The sequence below is a fragment of the Homo sapiens genome, chromosome 9, assembly GCF_000001405.40.
Source record: "Homo sapiens chromosome 9, GRCh38.p14 Primary Assembly".
Taxonomy (NCBI): domain Eukaryota; kingdom Metazoa; phylum Chordata; class Mammalia; order Primates; family Hominidae; genus Homo; species Homo sapiens.
In genome coordinates this window covers 125,160,257-125,179,965 of record NC_000009.12, presented here as the reverse complement: position 1 = coordinate 125,179,965, position 19,709 = coordinate 125,160,257, and the positions used below count along the sequence as shown (strand labels likewise).

The 19,709-nt window shown below is 42.7% G+C and overlaps 1 protein-coding gene and 1 pseudogene across 7 annotated transcripts in view; both read left to right on the top strand.

The window, feature by feature from the left end:
* Positions 1–19,709, top strand: part of PPP6C (protein phosphatase 6 catalytic subunit) — a 43,231-nt gene that overhangs the window by 9,838 nt on the left and 13,684 nt on the right. For 2 of the 7 annotated variants that reach the window (NM_002721.5, NM_001123355.2), the window contains 2 exons: positions 8,786–8,881; positions 19,060–19,125. In NM_002721.5, coding sequence (NP_002712.1) covers positions 8,786–8,881; positions 19,060–19,125 — 162 coding nt within the window. Of the gene's footprint in view, positions 1–4,771; positions 5,180–7,949; positions 8,058–8,785; positions 8,882–19,059; positions 19,126–19,709 lie in introns of those variants that run through there. The other 5 variants (NM_001123369.2, XM_047423566.1, XM_011518847.4 and 2 more) reach the window with 4 other exon arrangements.
* On the top strand, positions 1,150–1,486 carry NDUFB3P2 (NADH:ubiquinone oxidoreductase subunit B3 pseudogene 2; annotated as a pseudogene).

Below are 19,709 nucleotides of genomic sequence, written 5' to 3'. Positions count from 1 at the left end.
AATTATATTCGGGCTGGGTGTGATGCTCACACTTGTAATCCTAGCACTTTGGGAGGCTGAGGCGGGTGGATCACCTGAGGTCAGGAGCTCGAGACCAGCCTGGCCAACGTGGTGAAACCCCATCTCTACTAAAAATATAAAAATTAGCTGGGTGTGGTGGCAGGTGCCTGTAATCCCAGATACTTGGGAGGCTGAGGCAGGAGAATCGCTTGAATCTGGGAGGTGGAGGTTGCAGTGAGCCAATATCACGCCATTGCACTCCAGCCTGAACGACAAAGCAAGACTTTGTTTCCAAAAAAAAAAAAAAAAAGAGAGAGAGAAAAGGAAAGCTGGATGAAGAGAGATAGCCAAGCCCATGTCTAGGGAAAAGCATTCTTGACTGAGTGAACAGAAAGTACAAAGCCTCAGAGGAGGGAGCATGCCTAGGTAGCCACCCAGACCTGGTGAGGCTGGTGTGTGGGGCAGCCTCCATGGAGAGGAGTTAGAACAAAACTCTGTCTAATAAATAAAAATAAAAAATTATATTCATAGTTCCCCACCCTCCAAACCAAACCTAAACAAATCAAAACAATCTGCTCTTGAAAGAAATAGTTGATAAGCCAGACTTCATTAAAATTAAAAGCTTTTGCTTTGTGAAAGACCCTATCAAGAGAATGAGATGATGATCCATGTACTGGGAGAAAATATTTGTGAAAGACGTGTCTGATAAAGTATTGTTATCCAAAATATGCAGATAATTCTTTTTTTTTTGAGATGGAGTTTCGCTCTTGTTGCTTAGGCTGGAGTGCAGTGGCGCGATCTCAGCTCACCGCAACCTCTGCCTCCCGCATTCAAGCAATTCTCCTGCCTCTGCCTTTCGAGTAGCTGGGATTATAGGCATGCGCCACCACACCCGGCTAATTTTGTATTTTTTAGTAGAGATGGGGTTTCTCTGCGTTGGTCATGCTGGTCTCGAACTCCTGACCTCAGGTGATCTGACCTCCTCGGCCTCCCAAAGTGCTGGGATTACAGACGTGAGCCACCATGCCTGGCCTGCAGATAACTCTTAAAACTCAATAAGAAAATGAACAATCTGATTAAAAAATGGACAAAAGTTGCTGTCAGATCATGCCAGTTTTTCAGAATGGTTGTGCTAAATTACACTTTCACCACCAGTAGAAACTGTCTAGAAGAAGCTGGCTGCAGGAGGGCTAAGGGATTTATTGGGCCTCAGTGAAGCTTGGTGATACGTGGGTGGCTTTGCAGAAATGTTTCCTTTGTTGGTGCATTATTACAAAGATTCAAATGGGGATTTGCTGCATTTGTGGTAGCTGTAGGAGCTGAATATTACTTGGAGTCCCAGAATAAAGATAAACATCACTGAAGATAATACCTGGAAGTATCATAGTGGTTTCTTAACTAAGATTTCCTCACTGTAGCCTACTTGCCTGGTTTGTCCCTTAAAGAATATTAGTAAGATATAATAAAGTAAATACAGATATGCCAAAAAAATGGACAAAAGACACCTCATCAAAGAAGATACAGTGATGACAAATAAGCGTATGAAAAGATGCTCTACCTTCCGTGTCATTAGGGAAATGCAAAGTGAAACAACCATGAGATAACCACTATATACCTATTAGAATGGCCAAAATCCAGAACACCAACAGTACCAAATGCTGATGAAGATGTGGAGCAACAGGAACTCTCATTCATTGCTGGTGGGAATGCAAAATGGTACAGCCACTTTGGAAGACGGTTTGGCAGTTTCTTATAAAACTAAACAAACTCTTCATATAATCCAGCAGTCCTGCTCCTTGATATTTACCCAAATGAGTTGTAAACTTATGTCCATACAAAAACCTGTACATAGATTTTTATAGCCACTTTATTCATAATTGCCAAAACTTGGAAGGAACCAAGATGTCCTTCACTAGGTGGATGGATAAACAAACTGTAATACACCCAGACAATGAAATATTATGCAGTGCTAAGAAGAAATGAGCTATCAAGCCATAAAAAGACATGGAAGAACCTTAAATACATATTACTAAATGAAAGAAACCAACCTGAAAAGGCTACATATATATGATTCCAACTATATGACATTTTGGGAAAGGCAAAACTATAGAGACAGTAAAAAGATCAGTGGTTTTCAGAGGTTGGAGGGAGGTGAATTTGAATAGGTGAAACTATTCTGTATGATACTATAATGGTAGGTACATGTCATTATACAATTGTCAAAACTTATAGAATGTGCAGTAGGAGTGACCCTAATTTAAACAAACTATGGCCTTTGGATGATAATGATATGTCAGTGTATGCTCATCATCTGTAACAAACGTACCACTCAAGTGTGAGATGTTGATGCGGGGAGGCTGTGGGGAGGGGCAGGGGGTATATGGGAACTCTGCACTTTTTTCTTTTTTTCTTTTTCTTTTTTTCCCTTTATATGGAGAACGAAGTCTCTCTATATTGCTGAGGGCGGTCTTGAACTCCTGGGCTCAAGGGATCCTCCTGTCTTTGCCTCCCTAAGTGGTGGGATTACAGGCGCGAGCCACTGTGCCCAGCAGGGGAACTCTGTACTTTAAGATTTTTTTTGTTTGTTTGTTTTGAGACAGAGTCTTGCTGTCACCCCAGGCTGGAGTGCAGTGGCGCCATCTCTGCTCACTGCAAGTTCGGCCTCCCGGGTTCACGCCATTCTCCTGCCTCAGCCTTTCAAGTAGCTGAGACTACAGGCGCCCGCCACCACGCCCGGCTAATTTTTTGTATTTTTAGTAGAGATGGGGTTTCATTGTGTTAGCCAGGATGGTCTCACTCTCCTGACCTCGTGATCCGCCTGCCTCGACCCCCCAAAGTGCTGGGATTACAGGCGTGAGCCACCGCGCCCGGCCGGGAATTCTCTGTACTTTTCTGCTCAATTTTGCTGTGAAGCTAAAACTGCTCTAAAAAATAGTCTATTTACAGGGGTAAAAAAACACAATAAAAAAATCTACTTTCCCTGGAGTTGTAACTGTCTCAGTAATGATTATTTCCAGCCTTCTAATTGTTTAAGCCAGAAATCCCGCGTCATCCTTGATTCTTTACTTTCTCTTAACACCCTGTATCCAGCTGGTCATAAATCTAGCAGATGCTACATTCAGATAACATCTGGAATCTATTTTCCCTATTTTCTACTTCTACTACCCTGTCCAAGCCAGTTAACTTTTACCTAGATTATTATAGAAGACACTTAACTGATCTCCCTGCTTACTCCTTTGTCCCAATTCCAACCCCAGCCCAGCCACCCCTCCACCACCATCAATCCATTTTCTCTTTTCTTGTTATTTTGAGAAAGGGTCTCGCTCTGTGACCCAGGCTGGAGTGCAGTGGCACAGTCTCACCTCACTGCAGCTTTGACCTCCCGGGCTCAAGCGATCCTTGCACCTCAGCCTTCCAAGTATCTGGGACTTCAGGCACATGCCACCACGCCCAGCTAGTTTTTGTATTTTTTGTAGAGACTGGGTTTTGCCATTGTTGCCCAGGCAGGTCTCGAACTCCTGAGCTCAAGTGATACGCTCACCTCGGCCTCCCAAAGTGCTGGGATGATAGGTGTGAGCCACCACGCCTGGCCAGTTTGTTTTCAAAACAGCTGACTTAATATCATGTCAGTCTTCTGCTCTAGAACTTCTAATGGCTTCCCGTTACACTCAGTAGAAGCCCAGGTCCTTATTTTCACCACCAGTGACCTAAATAATTCTGTGATGCTCTCCTGTTTTTCTTCTCATTCAGTTTACTCTAAACACACCAGCCTTGATGATGTTTCTTAGACACAAGCATGCTTCACATCAGGACTTTTGGTCTTTATTTCTCTGCCTGTAGTATTGTGTCCCCATAGCCTTACCTCCTTTAGAGTTTTGCTCAAAATTCACTTTATCAGTAAGGCTTCCATACTCTCCCTGTTTAAAATAACAGCACCTACTCTCCACCCCAGCACCCCATCCCTCTTCTAGTGTGTCTGTTTGCTCTATACTTCCTTGATATTACTATGTGACAAATTACTGTTATATATTTTACTTATTTATTGTCTGTCTCATTCTATTAGAATGTAAGCCCCTTGAGAGCAGAGCTTTTAGTCTGTTTTGGTTGTTGCTATTTACTTTGTATCTAGAACAATACCTGGTAACATACCAGGCACTCCATAAATATTTGTTGCATTGAACAACTAAATATTCAATATAATGTAGTGGAAAGTGGTAGGAAACTTGGATTCTAGATCTGTTGCTAAGATTAAGTAACATCTTTTATTATCTAAGTCAAGTGAGAAATTTGGTGTAGGTAATTTCTTTTTTTTTTTTTTTTTTTGAGACGGAGTCTCGCTGTGTCGACCAGGCTGGAGTGCAGTGGTGCGATCTCTGCTCACTGCAAGCTCCGCCTCCCGGGTTCATGCCATTCTCCTGCCTCAGCCTCCCTAGTAGCTGGGACTACAGGCGCCTGCCACCATGCCCCGCTAATTTTTTTGTATTTTTTTTTAGTAGAGACGGGGTTTCACTGTGTTAGCCAGGATGGTCTCGATCTCCTGACCTCGTGATCCACCCGCCTCGGCCTCCCAAAGTGCTGGGATTACAGGCGTGAGCCACCGCGCCCGGCCGGCGTAGGTAATTTCTAATGCAAACCAGAATTTTATAATTCTGATGGAACCTTCGAGAACATCTTTCAGTATAAAGTTTAAGGCTCAAAGTTCAGAAACATTGTTTCACTCACCAGCATCTATTTTTTGCTTTTGTTTTTGTTTTTTTTTGAAACAGAGTCTCACTCTGTCACCCAGGCTGGAGTGCAATGGCGTGATCTTGGCTCACTGCAAACTCTGCTCCTGGGTTCAAGCAATTCTCCTGCCTCAGCCTCCCAAGTACAGGATTACCAGCGCCCTGCCACCACGCCCAGCTAAGTATTTGTATTTTTAGTAGAGATGAGGTTTCACCATGTTGGCCAGGCTGATCTTGAACTCCTGACCTCAGGTGATCCACCTGCCTCGGCCTCCCAAAGTGCTGGGATTACAGATGTGAGCCACACACCTGGCCTGTTTTTCTTTTTTTTAGATAGGTTCTCACTCTGTCGCCCAGACTGGAGTGCAGTGGCGCGATCTCGGCACACTGCAACCTCTGCCTCCAAGGCTCAAGCGATTCTCCTGTCTCAACCTCCCAAGTAGCTGAGATTACAGGTACGTGCCTCTACTGACCAGCTTATTTTTGTATTTTTTAGTATAGACAGGGTTTTGCTATGTTGGCTAGGCTGGTCTCGAACTCCTGACCTCAAATGATCCACCTGCCTGAGCCTCCTAAAGTGCTGGAATTATAGGTGTGAGCCACCACGGCTGGCCTGTTTTTGTTATTTTTTTTAATGAGTGATGGATGTACTATATGGCAGGACCATGGATTGATTTGTTGAAGCATATAGGTGTGGAAAATTCAACACAAACAGGAGCTAGCTACCCAGGGACTCAAGGCCAGAAGGATTCCAGGCCAAAAAGAAGATCTTGCCTTTGAGGTGCTATTTTAAGATCAGGAACTTACCCTAGGAATGAAGGCAAATCATTTTATTTTGAAGTTTTCTGATTTTTTGTATAATGTTTAGGAAATTAACAACTCTATTTCCCCTCATTGTCTTTTGGGAGCCCTTTTTTCCCCCCTCCCACTCCCATTGAGTTCTGTTCTTGCTACTGTGTAGCTATTGTTGTAGCTGTAACTGTTAAAGTGTTTCTCATATATTAATGAGATTATAGCATTTAGATTCCTTAATTAATGTTTAAGTGATTTCATTATGCTTGTTAGTTTAATTTCTCCTTTCTTGGCAGACCTATCGTAAAATCCAATAAGCCTTTGGCAATAGTACAAACTGGTCTCAGGTAGGAAGGAAGGTTCCACCTGAGACCTCCAGTTCCCTGTATATAGCAGGGATGTATACTTCCTTTTCCAGAACGTTGGTGTGAGAATCATATGCTTTCTATGACATTTTTTGGTTTGATTACTTTCAGTGGACAAATATTTTTGAAGTGCAAACATTTAGAGTTCCTTTAACAAAAAGAATGGCTTGGCTGGGTGCGGTGGCTCACGCCTGTAATCCCAGCACTTTGGGAGGCCGAGGCGGGTGGATCATGAGGTCAGGAGAGCGAGACCATCCTGGCCAACATGGTGAAACCTTGTCTCTACTAAAAATCCAAAAATGAGCTGGGTATGATGACTCATGCCTGTAATCCCAGCTACTCGGGAGGCTGAGGCAGGAGAATGGCTTGAACCTGGGAGGCAGAGATTGCAGTGAGCTGAGATTGCGCCACTGCACTCCAGCCTGGCAACAGAGCGAGATTCTGTCTCAAAAAAATAAAATTAAAAAAGGCTCATCTTTTTTGTTGTTGTTGTTGTTTGTTTGTTTTGAGAAAGAGTCTCACCCTGTTTCCCAAGCTGGAGTGCAGTGGCGCGACCTCGGTTTTCGGCAACCTCTGTCTCCTGGGTTCAAGCGATTCTCTTGCCTCATCCTCCCGAGTAGCTGGGATTACAGCTGTGCACCCCACGCCTGGCTACTTTTTTTTTTTTTTTTTTTTTTTTTGAGAGGGAGTCTCTCTGCTGCCCAGGCTGGAGTGCAATGGGTGCAATCTCGGCTCACTGCAACCTTTGCCTCCCAGATTCAAGTGATTCTCCTGCCTCAGCCTCAGCTGAGGATTACAGGCACCTGCCACCACGCCCAGCTAATTTTTGTATTTTTAATAGAGACGGGGTTTCACTACGTTGGCCAGGCTGGTCCTGAACTCCTGACCTTGTGATCCACCCACCTCAGCCTCCCAAAGTTCTGGGATTACAGGCGTGATTCACCATGCCCAGCCTAATTTTTATATTTAGTAGAGATAGGGGGTTTTGCCATGTTGGTCAGGCTGGTCTTGAACTCCTGACCTCAAATGATCCACCCACTTTGGCCTCCCAAAATGCTGGGATTACAGGCGAGAGCCGCCGTGCCCAGCTGGCTCCTCAGTTTTAGATTTGAATTTTATAATTAATTATAGTTAGCCTTTTTATTTCAAAATAACCCAGTTTTCCCCAGTGGTAACATTTTGTAGAACTATAGTGTAATGCCACAACCAATACAACATCAGCCAACATTGACACTGATACAACTCATGATCTTTAGGTACAACCCAAGATCATCACCTCATGATGTTCAGATTTCTTCAGTTTTACTTGTGTTTGTGTGTGTGTGTGTGTGTTTGTGTGTGTGTGTGTGTGTGTGTGTGTGTGTTTGTGTGTATTCAGTTCTTTGCAGTTTTATTGGGTAAGGGCTCATGTATCCAACTCTATAGTCAAAATACAGAACAGGTCCATCATCACAAGAATTCCTCATGTTGCCCTTTTATAGCCACACCCACTTCCTTCCTGCAACTGCTGGACCCCTGACAACAACTAATCCGTTCTCCATTTCTTTAATTTTGTCATTTCAAGAATGTGTAAACACGGCCGAGTGCAGTGGCTCAATGCCTGTAATCCCACCACTTTGGGAGGCCGAAGCGGGCAGATCACCTGAGGTTGGGAGTTTGAGACCAGCCTGACCAACATGGTGAAACTACTAAGAATACAAAAATTAGCTGGGCATGATGGTGTGTGCCTGTAATCCCAGGTACTTGTGAGACTGAGGCAAGGGAATCACTTGAACTGGGAGGCAGTTTGCAGTGAACTGAAATTGTGCTACTGGACTCCAGCCTGGGCAACAGACCAAGACTCTGTCTCAAAAAAAAAGGGAAAAAAAGAAGGTTATATAAATGGAATTATACAGTATATAACCTTTTGGGACAGTTTTCTGTTGTTTCATTTTTTTCACTCAACATAAATGCCTTGAGATGAATCCAGGTTGTTGTGTGGCAGTATTCGTTTCTTTTTATTGCTGAGTAGTATTACATGGTGTGGATGTACCAAAATGTGTTTAACCATTCACTCATTGAAGGATATCTGATTTGTTTTTAGTTTTGGGCTATGATGCATTAGGCTTCTGCGAGTATTTATATACAGATTTTGAACATGTTTTTATTGCCAAGACTACAGTTGCTGGGTCAAATGGTAAGTGTGTGGTTTGCAATTTATTTTTTAAATTACCAGATAAAAATCTTTTACTGGCTGGGCACGGTGGCTGACGCCTGTAATCCCAGCACTTTGGGAGGCTGAGGTGGGTGGATCACCTGAGGTCAGGAGTTCAAGACCAGCCTGGCCAACATGGTAAAACCCTGTGTCTACTAAAAATACAAAAATTAGCCGGGTGTGGTGGCACATGCCTGTAACCCCAGCTACTTGGGAGGCTGAGGCAGGAAAATTGCTTGAATCTGGGAGATGGAGGTAGAAGTGAGCCGAGATCGTGTCACTGCATTTCAGCCTGGGAGACAGAGTGAGACTCCGTTTAAAAAAAAAAAAAACAAAAAAACCCAAAAACCTTTTACTGTTAAAATTATTTCTTCATATATATATATATATATATATATATATATATATATATGTGTGTGTGTGTGTGTGTATATGTGTGTGTGTGTTTGGTGAAAAACATCATTTTACAGTTCTTGTAAAGCTGTCTGTCTCCTAGAACCTTAGTGTCTCTGTAGGTAGTTTGCATTGCATTAAGAATTCTGTGTGACAGCTGACAGAAATCCAACCCCCGAATTATCACAGGGTACTTTCCTATCAAAAAGTATACTTGGGTTTTGTAAGTATTAGACCTGGTATTTTTCTTTTTTGGTATTTTATCTTTAGTTTTAATGTTGTAGTAAATGTTTACCTTTTATTTTCTCTTTTTATAGCGGCTATGTGACTACGTTTGTGACCTCCTCTTAGAAGAGTCAAATGTTCAGCCAGTATCAACACCAGTAACAGTGTGTGGAGATATCCATGGACAGGTAAAATTTCATGAGCAGATTTTTAAGTTTTGTACTGTCCATGATCCATGTGTGTTTTCACATGTGCTGCAAAATTAAAACAACAACAACATCAACAAACACAACTGGTGGTAAGCTAGGTTGCCTCAGTCTCTGTGACACAAATGATTCCTGGTTTACATTTTTGGTGAATAAAAGCAGTGGTCAAATTAGTGATGGAATTTGTTGATAATTACATTTGTGAAGTGAATAATGCAGCATTAGTTTTCTGTGGAATGGTGGGGTTGGGGGTAGGTAGAAGATATAAAGTACAAACACATACTGCTCATAATAACTATGATTAACAGGAGATGTTTTGGTGTTAGGCACTTTTTTCATTCAGTTCATTTCTGTTCTCCTGTCATATATTGTTGAAAATTTATCATTTCTTTAGTGGGAATGAGAATAGCAAAGGTACAGAAAAATAAAATTGTTGGTCCATGATGTCACAGCAAATCACTGATGAATGAGCTAGAAAATATTTAGCTCAATTTTTCATCTGCTGGGTGTTTGTAAGAATTTCAAAGCAGTGCCGGGCGTGGTGGCTCACACCTGTAGTCCCAGCACTTTGGGTGGCTGAGGCGGGTGGATCGTGAGGTCAGGAGTTTGAGACCAGCCTGACCAACATGGTGAAACCCCGTCTCTACTGAAAATACAAAAAAATTAGCTGGGCATGGTGGTGCGTGCCTGTAATCCCAGCTACTCAGGAGGCTGAGGCAGGAGAATCTCTTGAACCCGGGAGGTGAAGGTTGCAGTGAGCCGAGACCGCACCACTGCACTCCAGCCTGGGCAACAGAGCAAGACTCTGTCTAAAAAAAAAAAAAAGAATTTCAAAGCAGTAACAGGAGGGGCATACCTCATATTTAGATTCTGTTGTCAGTGTTTAGTCTCATGTATATTTGTAGAATTTTTTCACTGGGAAATGAAAGCTGAACAGATTACTCATAGAGTGCTATATGCATACAGTGTAGTTGGGGCCATAAGACTTAATAATACATTGCAAACAATGTAGTCTTTAAAGGATGCCAACAGGACTTACTGTCACCTGTGCAATTTCCCTGCTTTAAATATGACTGTGTAAATGAGCAGAAATGTGTGTAAATTGACTCTGATTAGGGGCTGCTCCATGAGTAAAGTCTTGTTTTGGCTACTTACTTACAGGCTGATTTTCTTTTGGTTTTTCAAGGTGTTTTCTGGATTTTTTAGATTATAAAAAAATCTGACACTTGCATGTCATCACCTCCTAGATGGAGGTCCCATTATGTCATCTTTGATTGTTAAAATTACAGTTCTTTAGAGTAGACTTTAGGAATTGATTTCCTAAAATTTCCATGTAACTTCTCTCTCAAACATTTGTATTTTGCTAACATAAAGGATATTAATATAAGCAGTGTCTTAAGACATTCCTGAAAACTGGAATAAACCAAGTCATGTTTTCCCCCAGTGTAGTGTAGAAGTTTCTATGTAACTTCTCTCTCAAAGTAAACATTTGTATTTTGCTAACATAAAGGATATTAATATAAGCAGTGTCTTAACACATTCCTGAAAACTGGAATAAACCAAGTCATGTTTTCCCCCAGTGTAGTGTTTCCCCCAGTTGTAGACTTTTTAAGATGTGAAGTACAGCCATGATCAAAGGTCAGAAAGTTAGAGACCAACCTCGAACTACTAAAATTGGAAGCATAAAATTGAACTTTTGTATTATATATACCTTCAGTCAAATGTGCAGTTCTTGCTAACATATATCTTGTGTTTTGAGGTTAACAAAGTACTTTTTCACATATTCTGTGTCAGTTTTTTCCCAAAGTCCTGTGAGATAGGATTATTTTGTAGACAATGAAAGGGAGACTGAAAGATTGAAGAGAAATAGCCCAAACTCACACACAGCTACTACAGGGCAGATTGAGATTTGAAACTAATTTGGGTTTCTTTTGTACATGTTATTTTAAGACCACCACCAAACCGTGAACAATTGTTTATGTTGTATGTGTTCCTTAAAAAACAATTGTTCCAGGTGCAGTGGCTCACGCCTGTAATCCCAGCACTTTGGGAGGCTGAGGCAGGCAGATCAGAAGGTCAGGAGTTCAAGACCAGCCTAGCCAACATGGTGAAACCCTGTCTCTACGAAAAATACAAAAATTAGCCAGGTGTGGTGGTGCGTGCCTGTAATCCCAGCTACTTGGGAGGCTGAGGCAGGAGAATCGCTAGAACCCGGGAGGCAGAGGTTGCAGTGAACCGAGATCATGCATTGCACCCCAGCCTGGGCAATAGAGTGAGACTCTGTCTCGAAAAAATAAAAAATAAAAAATAAGCCGGGTGTGGTGGCTCATGCCTGTAATCCCAGCACTTTGGGAGGCTGAGGTGGGTGGATCACGAGGGCAAGAGATCGAGACCATCCTGGCAAATATGGTGAAACCCCGTCTCTACTAAAAATACAAAAATTAGCCAGGTGTGGTGACAGGCGCCTGTAATCCCAGCTCCTTAGGAGGCTGAGGCAGGAGAATTGCTTGAACCTGGGAGACGGAGGTTGTGGTGAGCCGAGATCGCGCCATTGCACTCCAGCCTGGGCAACAAGAGCGAAACTCCGTCTCAAAAAAATGAAAAACAGAAGATTGCTAATCAGAAACATGGGATTTGAGCCTCTAAATAGCTATTGACTGATTAAATACAATGTAAAATGTATCCTTTGGGACTTATCTTCCTCTGGGGCCTGTTCTGGAATTGCAGGATTGGGTTATGAGTATGAATAAACATGTTAGCAAGCATGTTGTGCTGAGAAGTATTGAAGCTGTGTAATATAGTGAGGAGTTATAGATTTCAGTGTCAGATACAACTTGGTTTAAATCCTGGCTTGGCTATATATTAGTTGTTTAAGAAGCCATTTCAGCTAGCTCACAAATTCGTTAAGTGTGGCCTGTGGACCCTTGGGTCTCTAAGGTGGTACAGAGGCAATGGAGGGTAAAACTGCTCGTGCCTTAGCATGAACCAAGGGAATGACACTAGAATATACTGATTATCATTGAGTTCTTCACCAACATGCCTGCACAGTAAAATAAAATGCCAGTTTCACTTAACTCTCAATCCTTTAGAATATCCATTATTTGAAAAGTCTGGCTGGGCATGATGGCTCATGCCTATAATCCCAGCACTTTGGGAGGCTGAGGTGGGAGGATCGCTTGAAGCCATGGGTTCAAGACCAGCCTGGGCAACCAAATGATACCCCCCCCCCCCCCCCCCATCTCAAACTCCTGACCTCAGGTGATCCACCTGCCTTGGCCTCCCAGAGTGCTGGGATTACAGGCGTGAGCCACTGCGTCCGGCCTGAGACTCCCCATCTCTAAAAAAAAAAAATTTTTTTTTTTTGAGACAGAGTTTCTCTCTTGTTATCCAGGCTGGAGTGCAATGGCACGATCCTGGCTCACTGCAACCTCTGCCTCCCAGGTTCAAGCGATTCTCCTGCCTCAGCCTCCTGAGTAGCTGAGATTACAGGCATGTGCCACCACGCCTGACTAACTTTTTGTATTTTTAGTTGAGATGGGGTTTTTCCATGTTGCTGAGGCTGGTCTTGAACCCCTGACCTCATGTGATCCTCCTGTCTCCTGTCTCGGCCTCCCAAAGTGCTGGGATTACAGGCGTGAGTCACCATGCCCGGCCTTTTTTTTATTTCTTTTTTTTTTTTTTTTTTTTGGACAGGGTCTCGCTCTGTCACCCAAGCTGGAGTGCAGTGGTGTGATCTCAGTTCATTGCAGCCTCTGCCTCCCGGGTTCAAGTGATTCTTGTGCCTCAGCATCCCGAGTAGCTGGGACTACAGGCACGCACCACCACGCCTGGCTGATTTTTGTATTTTTAGTAGGGATGGGATTTTGCCCTGTTGGCCAGGCTGGTCTCGAACTCCTGGCCTCTTGTGATCCACCTGCCTCAGCCTCCCAGAGTGCTGGGACTACAGGTGTGAGCCGCTGCACCTGGCCCCCATCTCTAAAAATATTAAAAAGAAAAAAATTAGCCAGGCTTGGTGGTGTGAGTCTGTAAGTCCTAGCTCCTCAAGAGGCTAAGGTGGAAGCATTGCTTGAGCCCAGGAGTTTGAGGCTATAGTCAGCTATTATTGTGCCACTGCACTCCAGCCTGGGCAGCAGAGTGAGACCCCATCTAAAAAGAAAAAGAAAAAAGTCTGTGTGATGAAATGGGAAGTATGCATAAAGCATATCTACTGCATGCTGAAGAAAGATAGTTTACTCAAGGAAAAGTAGTTGTGGGTTGGGCACGGTGGCTCACACCTGTAATCCCAGCACCAGATCACCTGAGGTCGGGAGTTCAAGATCAGCCTGGCCAACATGGCAAAACCCCATCTTTACTAAAAAATATAAAAAATTGCCAGGTGTGGTGGTGGGTGCCTGTAATCCCAGCTACTCAGGGACTAAGGCAGGGAAAATTACTTGAACCTGGGAGGCGGATGTTGCAGTAAGCTGAGATCTCACCATTGCACTCCAGCCTGGGTGACAGAGTGAGACTCTGCTAAAAAAAAAAAAAAAAAGAAAAAGAAAAATACTTGTGAAATTCTTTGAGTCATGAGTTAAAATAACTGCTTTTTTATGGAACACTATTTTTACTTGAGAATGACTGACAAACTGTGATTATTTAGACTTGGGTATTTGGCAACTATATTTGCAAAAGTGAAGGAAGTGGGCCAGTCACTTCAAGGAGAACAATTGACAGTATTTGTTGCCGATGACAAAATTTGAATTTACTAATGAAAAATTGGAATTTTGGAAAATCTGAGTCCACCACTATGGGGCTAACAGTTTCCGACACTTAAAAGACTTTCCTGAGATGAAATGAGCAGTGATATTAACAAATATGGTTTTTTGATGATATAAAATGCAATGTCATTTTCATTTTTCAAATTACTAGTTTACCATTTACTCAAAGTGTAAGATAACAAATGTAACAGGGTATGAAAGATGACTATTATAGGCCAGGCCTGGTGACTCACACCTGCAATCCCAGCACTTTGGGAGGCCGTGGCAAGCGGATCGCTTGAGCCCAGGAGTTTGAGACCAGCCTGAGCAACATGGTGAAACCCTGTCTCTACTAAAAATACAAAAATTAGCCAGGTGTGGAGGTACGTGCCTGTAATCTCGGCTACTTAGGTGGCTGAGGCATGAGAATTGCTTGAACCTGGGAGGTGGAGGTTGCACTGAGCTGAGAATGTGCCACTGTACTCCAGCCTGGACAACAGGGAGAGATCCTGTCTCCAAAAAAAAAAAAAAAAAAGCAAAAGATTACTGTTATGGTTTCAGATTTCATATTGCGATTAACTTTTAAGTGTCATAAACTGCCACTTGTCAAATTTTGGTACAGTATTTAAAGAGTATGCACAGTTACCTGAAAATGTTATTAAAATACTCCTTCCTTTTGTAACTGCATATCTTTGTGAAGCTGGATTTTCTTCATCTGCTTTACTTAGTATATTCCCAACAGACTGAGTGCAGAGGCAAGTTCTAAGACTAGCCATGTTCTATTTAGCCAGACATTGAAGAGATTTGTGAAAATGTAAAACAATGTGAATTCTCCTCTCACTAAACAATTTTTTTGTTTTGGAAAAGTTAATTTTTCATTAAAATGTGTTTGTGATACTTTTTGATGGGTATGTTATTGATTTGTTTTTTTGAGATGGAATTTCACTCTTGTCACCCAGACTGCAGTGCAATGGTGTGATCTCAGCTCACTGCAACCTCTGCCTCCCGGGTTCAAGCGATTCTTCTGCCTCAGCCTCCCAAGTAGCTGGGATTACAGGTGTGAGTCACCGTGCCTGGCCTATGTTATTAATTTTTAAAAATTCATTTAAATATTTAAAACTTCTGAGTTTTAATCTCTAATATGGTAAATATTGATTTGTAAAACTTACATAAAAGATTTTCAGGACCTCTGGTTTTTAAGATCACAAATGAATCCTGAAACCAAAAAGTTTGAGAACTACTGGGCAGACTGGATGTTTCCTTGCCTCTGATAAAAAAAAAAATTCCACTTCCCAGCCGGGCGCGGTGGCTCACGCCTGTAATCCCAGCACTGTGGGAGGCCGAGGCGGGCGGATCACGAGGTCAAGAGATCAAGACCATCCTGGCCAATGTGGTGAAACCCCGTCTCTACTAAAAATACAAAAATTAGCTGGGCATGGTGGCACATGACTGTAGTCCCAGCTACTCGGGAGGCTGAGGCAGGAGAATGACGTGAACCTGGGAGGTGGAGGTTGCAGTGAGCCGAGATCATGCCACTGCACTCCAGTCTGGGTGACAGAGCGAGACTCCGTCTCAAAAAAAAATCCACTTCCCAGGCTGGGTAAAGTGGTACATATATGTAGTTCCAGCTACTCAGGAGGCTGAGGTGGGAGGATTGCTTGATCCCAAAAGTTTGAGACCAACCTGGGCAATATAGTGAGCCTCCATCTCAAAAATAATGATAATTAAAGAAAAAAATCTACTTCTTAAGATTGTTTTTGGTTTAAAATGGGAGCAGAGTATCTGAAATATGAAAAACAGAGTAGCTGGGTGCAGTGGCTCACGCCTGTAATCCTAGCACTTTGGGAGGCTGAGGCGGGCAGATTACCTGAGGTGAGGGGTTTAAGACCAACCTGGCCAATGTGGCGAAACCCTTTCTGTACAAAAAAGTACAAAAATTAGGCAGGTGTAGTGGCACGTGCCTGTAGTCCCAGCTACTTGGGAGGCTGAGGCAGGAGGATTGCTTGAACCCAGGAGCCAGAGGCAGCAGTGAGCTGAGATTGCACCACTGGACTCCAGGCTGGGTAACAGACTGAGACTCCGTCTCAAAAAAAAAAAAAAAAAAAAAAAAAAGAGAGTGAGGGAGAGACATAGAGTAGATGGTAGATATTATTTGACGATGAGGTAGGTGTCTAGTAATGTAGGATGAAAATAGGGCCGTGTGCTGTGGCTCATGCCTGTAATCCTAGCATTTGGGAAACCGAAGCGGGTGGATCACCTGAGGTCAGGAGTTCAGGATCTGCCTGGCCAACATGGTGAAACCCCGTCTTTAATAAAAATACAAAAATCAGCGGGGGTGCGGTGGCAGATAAGCTACTCGGGAGGCTGAGGCAGGAAAATCACTTGAACCCAGGAGGTGGAGGTTGCAGTGAGCTGAGATCGTGCCATTGCACTCCAGCCTGGACAACAAGAACGAAACTCCGTCTCAAAAAAAAAAAAAAAAGAATTGCCCAAGTTCTCGGGAAATGGGAACCTATGTATCACTGACGCAGAATATTTAATCGTCTACCTGTGTGTCTGGTAAATACAAACTTTAAAAGCTTTTGTTTAAGAACAGATATCTGGCCAGGCGTAGTGGCTCACGCCTGTAATCCCAGCACTTTGAGAGGCCGAGGCGGGCGGATCACAAGGTCAGGAGTTCAGGACCAGCCTGACCAACATGGTGAAACCCCGTCTCTGTTAAAAATACATAAATTAGCTGGGGCTGTTGGCACGCGCCTGTAATCCCAGCTACTCGGGAGGCTGAGGCAGGAGAATCACTTGAACCTGGGAGGCGGAGGATGCAGTGAGCCGAGATCGCACCATTGCATTGCAGCCTGGGCAACAGAGTGAGACTGTCTCAAAAAAACAAAACAAAACAAAAAAACATATCTGTAAACATCAATAGAAAAGTTTAAGGATACTCACTCTTCTACCATATTTTTATTAAAAAACTGACTTACAAAACTTTTTAATGTTCACTTCCTGACTTTGTGTATATAACTACTCAATTTTTTACATAATAGAATTGTGTAGTTATAGGTATAGTTTTGTATTCCATTCTTTTCCCTAATGATTTTTGCATTTTGCTACATGGTTTTCGTCATAATTTTTATTCATGGCCTCATAAGGTCCTTGAGTTGCTAGATCTTAATTTAAGATATTCACTTATGTTAGTCATGAAGGCTGTTTCTTTTGATGTTTTAAATGTTGTCATAACACTTTTTTTTTTTTGAGACAGAGTCTTGCTGTGTCATCCAGGCTGGAATGCAGTGGCACCATCCTGGCTCACTGTAACCTCCGTCTCCCAGGTTCAAGTGATTCTCCTGCCTCAGCCTCCTGAGGTAGCTGGGACTACAGGTGCCCGCCGCCACGCCTGGCTAATTTTTGTATTTTTAGTAGAGACTGGGTTTCGCCATGTTGGCCAGGCTGGTCTCGAACTCCTGACCTCAGGTGATCCACCCGCCTCGGCCTCCCAAAGTGCTGGGATTACAGGCGTGAGCCTCTGTGCTTGGCCCACTTTTTTTTTTTTTTTTTGAGACGGAGTCTTGCTCTGTCACCCAGGCTAGAGTGCAGTGGCGTGATCTTGGCTTACTGCATCCTCCACCTCTCAGGTTCAGGTGATTCTCCTGCCTCAGCCTCCCGAGTAGCAGGGATTGATTACAGGTGCCCACCATGATGCCCAGCTAATTTTTGTATTTTTAGTAGAGACAGGGTTTCACCATGTTGGCCAGTCTGGTCTTGATCTCCTGACCTCATGATCCACCTGCCTCAGCCTCCCACAATGCTGGGATTACAAGTGTGAGCCACTGTGCCCGGACCATAACACTTTTTTTTTTTTTTTTTTTTTTTTTTGAGACAGAATCTTGCTCTGTTGCCCAGGCTGGAGTGCAGTGGCATGATCTTGGCTCACTGCAACCTCTACCTCCTGGGCTCAAGCAATTCTTGTGCCTCAGCCTCCCAGGTAGCTGGGATTACAGGTGCAGGCCACCACCCCTGGATAATTTTTGTATTTTTAGTAGAGATGGGGTTTCACCACATTGGCTAAGCTGGTCTTGAACTCCTGACCTCAAGTGATCTGCCTGCCTGGGACTCCCAAAGTGCTGGGATTACAGGCGTGAGCTCCCAAAGTTCCAGGATTACAGGTGTGAGCAGCTTGGCCTGTTAGCTAATTTTCAGATACATTTTATATTAAGCTTCCTAAAGTTGTTTTTTTTTTTTTGTCTGACTTTTTAGACTTATGGAACATTGTTATAAAAGGTGTTACTTTATTTCTTTCAGTAGTTAACATCTCACTTTCAGTTTTCTTCACTTTGACTAACATTCCTATTAAGTGTTAAAAGTTTAAATGATAATTTTATTTCAAGTGTAAAAGATGAATGTGTTAGAAGTTGTTAGTTGTAATTGGTCCAATGTATTGTAGTCAATTCCCTTAATCCAAAATCGTTTTTCTTCCAGAAAAACTGTAATGCTTTCTTTGGAAATTAGGGCTAGGGTAATAATCTAGTGGACTGAAATTTGACAAATGCACAATTTGCCAGTTACCAAATTTCAGTAAATAGAAATATGATGAAATATCCTTGGGTGTCATGGATCACACTTGTAATCCCAGCACTTTGGGAGACTGAGGTGGGAGGATTGCCTGAAGCCAGTAGTTTGAGACCAGCTTGGGCAAAAAAGCGAGACCCTGTCTCTATAAAAATTTGCTGGGCATGGTGGTGTGTAACTGTGGTCCTAGCTACTGAGGAGGGCAAGGTAGGAGGGTTACTTGAGCCCAGGAATTTGTGGCTGCAGTGAGTTATGATTGCACCACTGCATTCCGGCCTGGGTAACAGAGCCAAACCCTGTCTTAAAACAAAAAACAAAAAATATGATGAAATATATAATTTTTTTTTAACTGATCATTGAGGAGACACTCCATGGCTGTGGAGCCTGAGGGTATATAACTCTAACTGTAGAATGTGGGAAGATCTCTGTATAACACTGGAGTGTCATGTAAGTTCAGTTTGGAAGAAAAAGAGGTATCCACTTGTTTCTGTAATCTTTTGTCTCATTAAAATAGATACAGAATTTGGGTGGGCTGTTAGATTAGCTTACTGAGAAATTAGACAATTGATAAAGGATGTCAGAATTCTCAAGAGATAGATGGGGAGATGTATGAAAGAAAATGAGAAAGGGAATCCTATGATAATAATCTAGGAGTGACTTTATGGTAACTGAGCTTTATTTAGTGCTTTTTTTAGTCTTGAGAACTGTGTGCTTGGCAGTTTGGCTTACACTTTATTTCTTAAAAATGTAAATATTTGGAGTCCTCTTAGCTGCTTCTTTACACATTTCACTCTCAGTTTTGTTGCTTTGCTTCTTAACAGGAATTTGTAATCAGCATGTATTGCATTTCTTTTATAGTTTTATGACCTTTGTGAACTGTTCAGAACTGGAGGTCAGGTTCCTGACACAAACTACATATTTATGGTATGTAAACACCAGTGATATCAAGTGCTTGTTTAAAATGGAAAGGATCTGACTTATTAAATGTAAATTGCATAATAATTCTTTACCATGTGACAGTCCCTATTTCAGTATATTAAAAGATGTGTATTAGTCCGTTTTCACGCCGCTGATAAAGACATACCTGAGACTGGGCAATTTACAAAAGAGGTTTAATGGACTTAACAGTTTCACATGGCTGGAGAGGCCTCACAATCATGCAGAAGGCAAGGAGGACCAAGTCACATCTTATGTGGATGGCGGCAGGCAAAGAGAGAGAGACTGTGCAGGGATCTCTTGTTTTTAAAACCATCAGATCTCATGAGACTTATTGTCATGAGAACAGCACAGGAAAGACTTGCCCCCATGATTCAATTACTTTCCATCGAGTCCCTCCCACAACATGTGGGAATTCAAGATGAGATTTGGGTGGGGACACAGCCAAACCATATCAAGGTGATTGTATACTTTTCTACATTTAACTATGTCCTCTAATTAATTGCCTTAGTAAGCCACTGTAGATAGGGTTGGGTTGTAGCTGTCAGTAATGGTTGGGCATAAAAAATAAC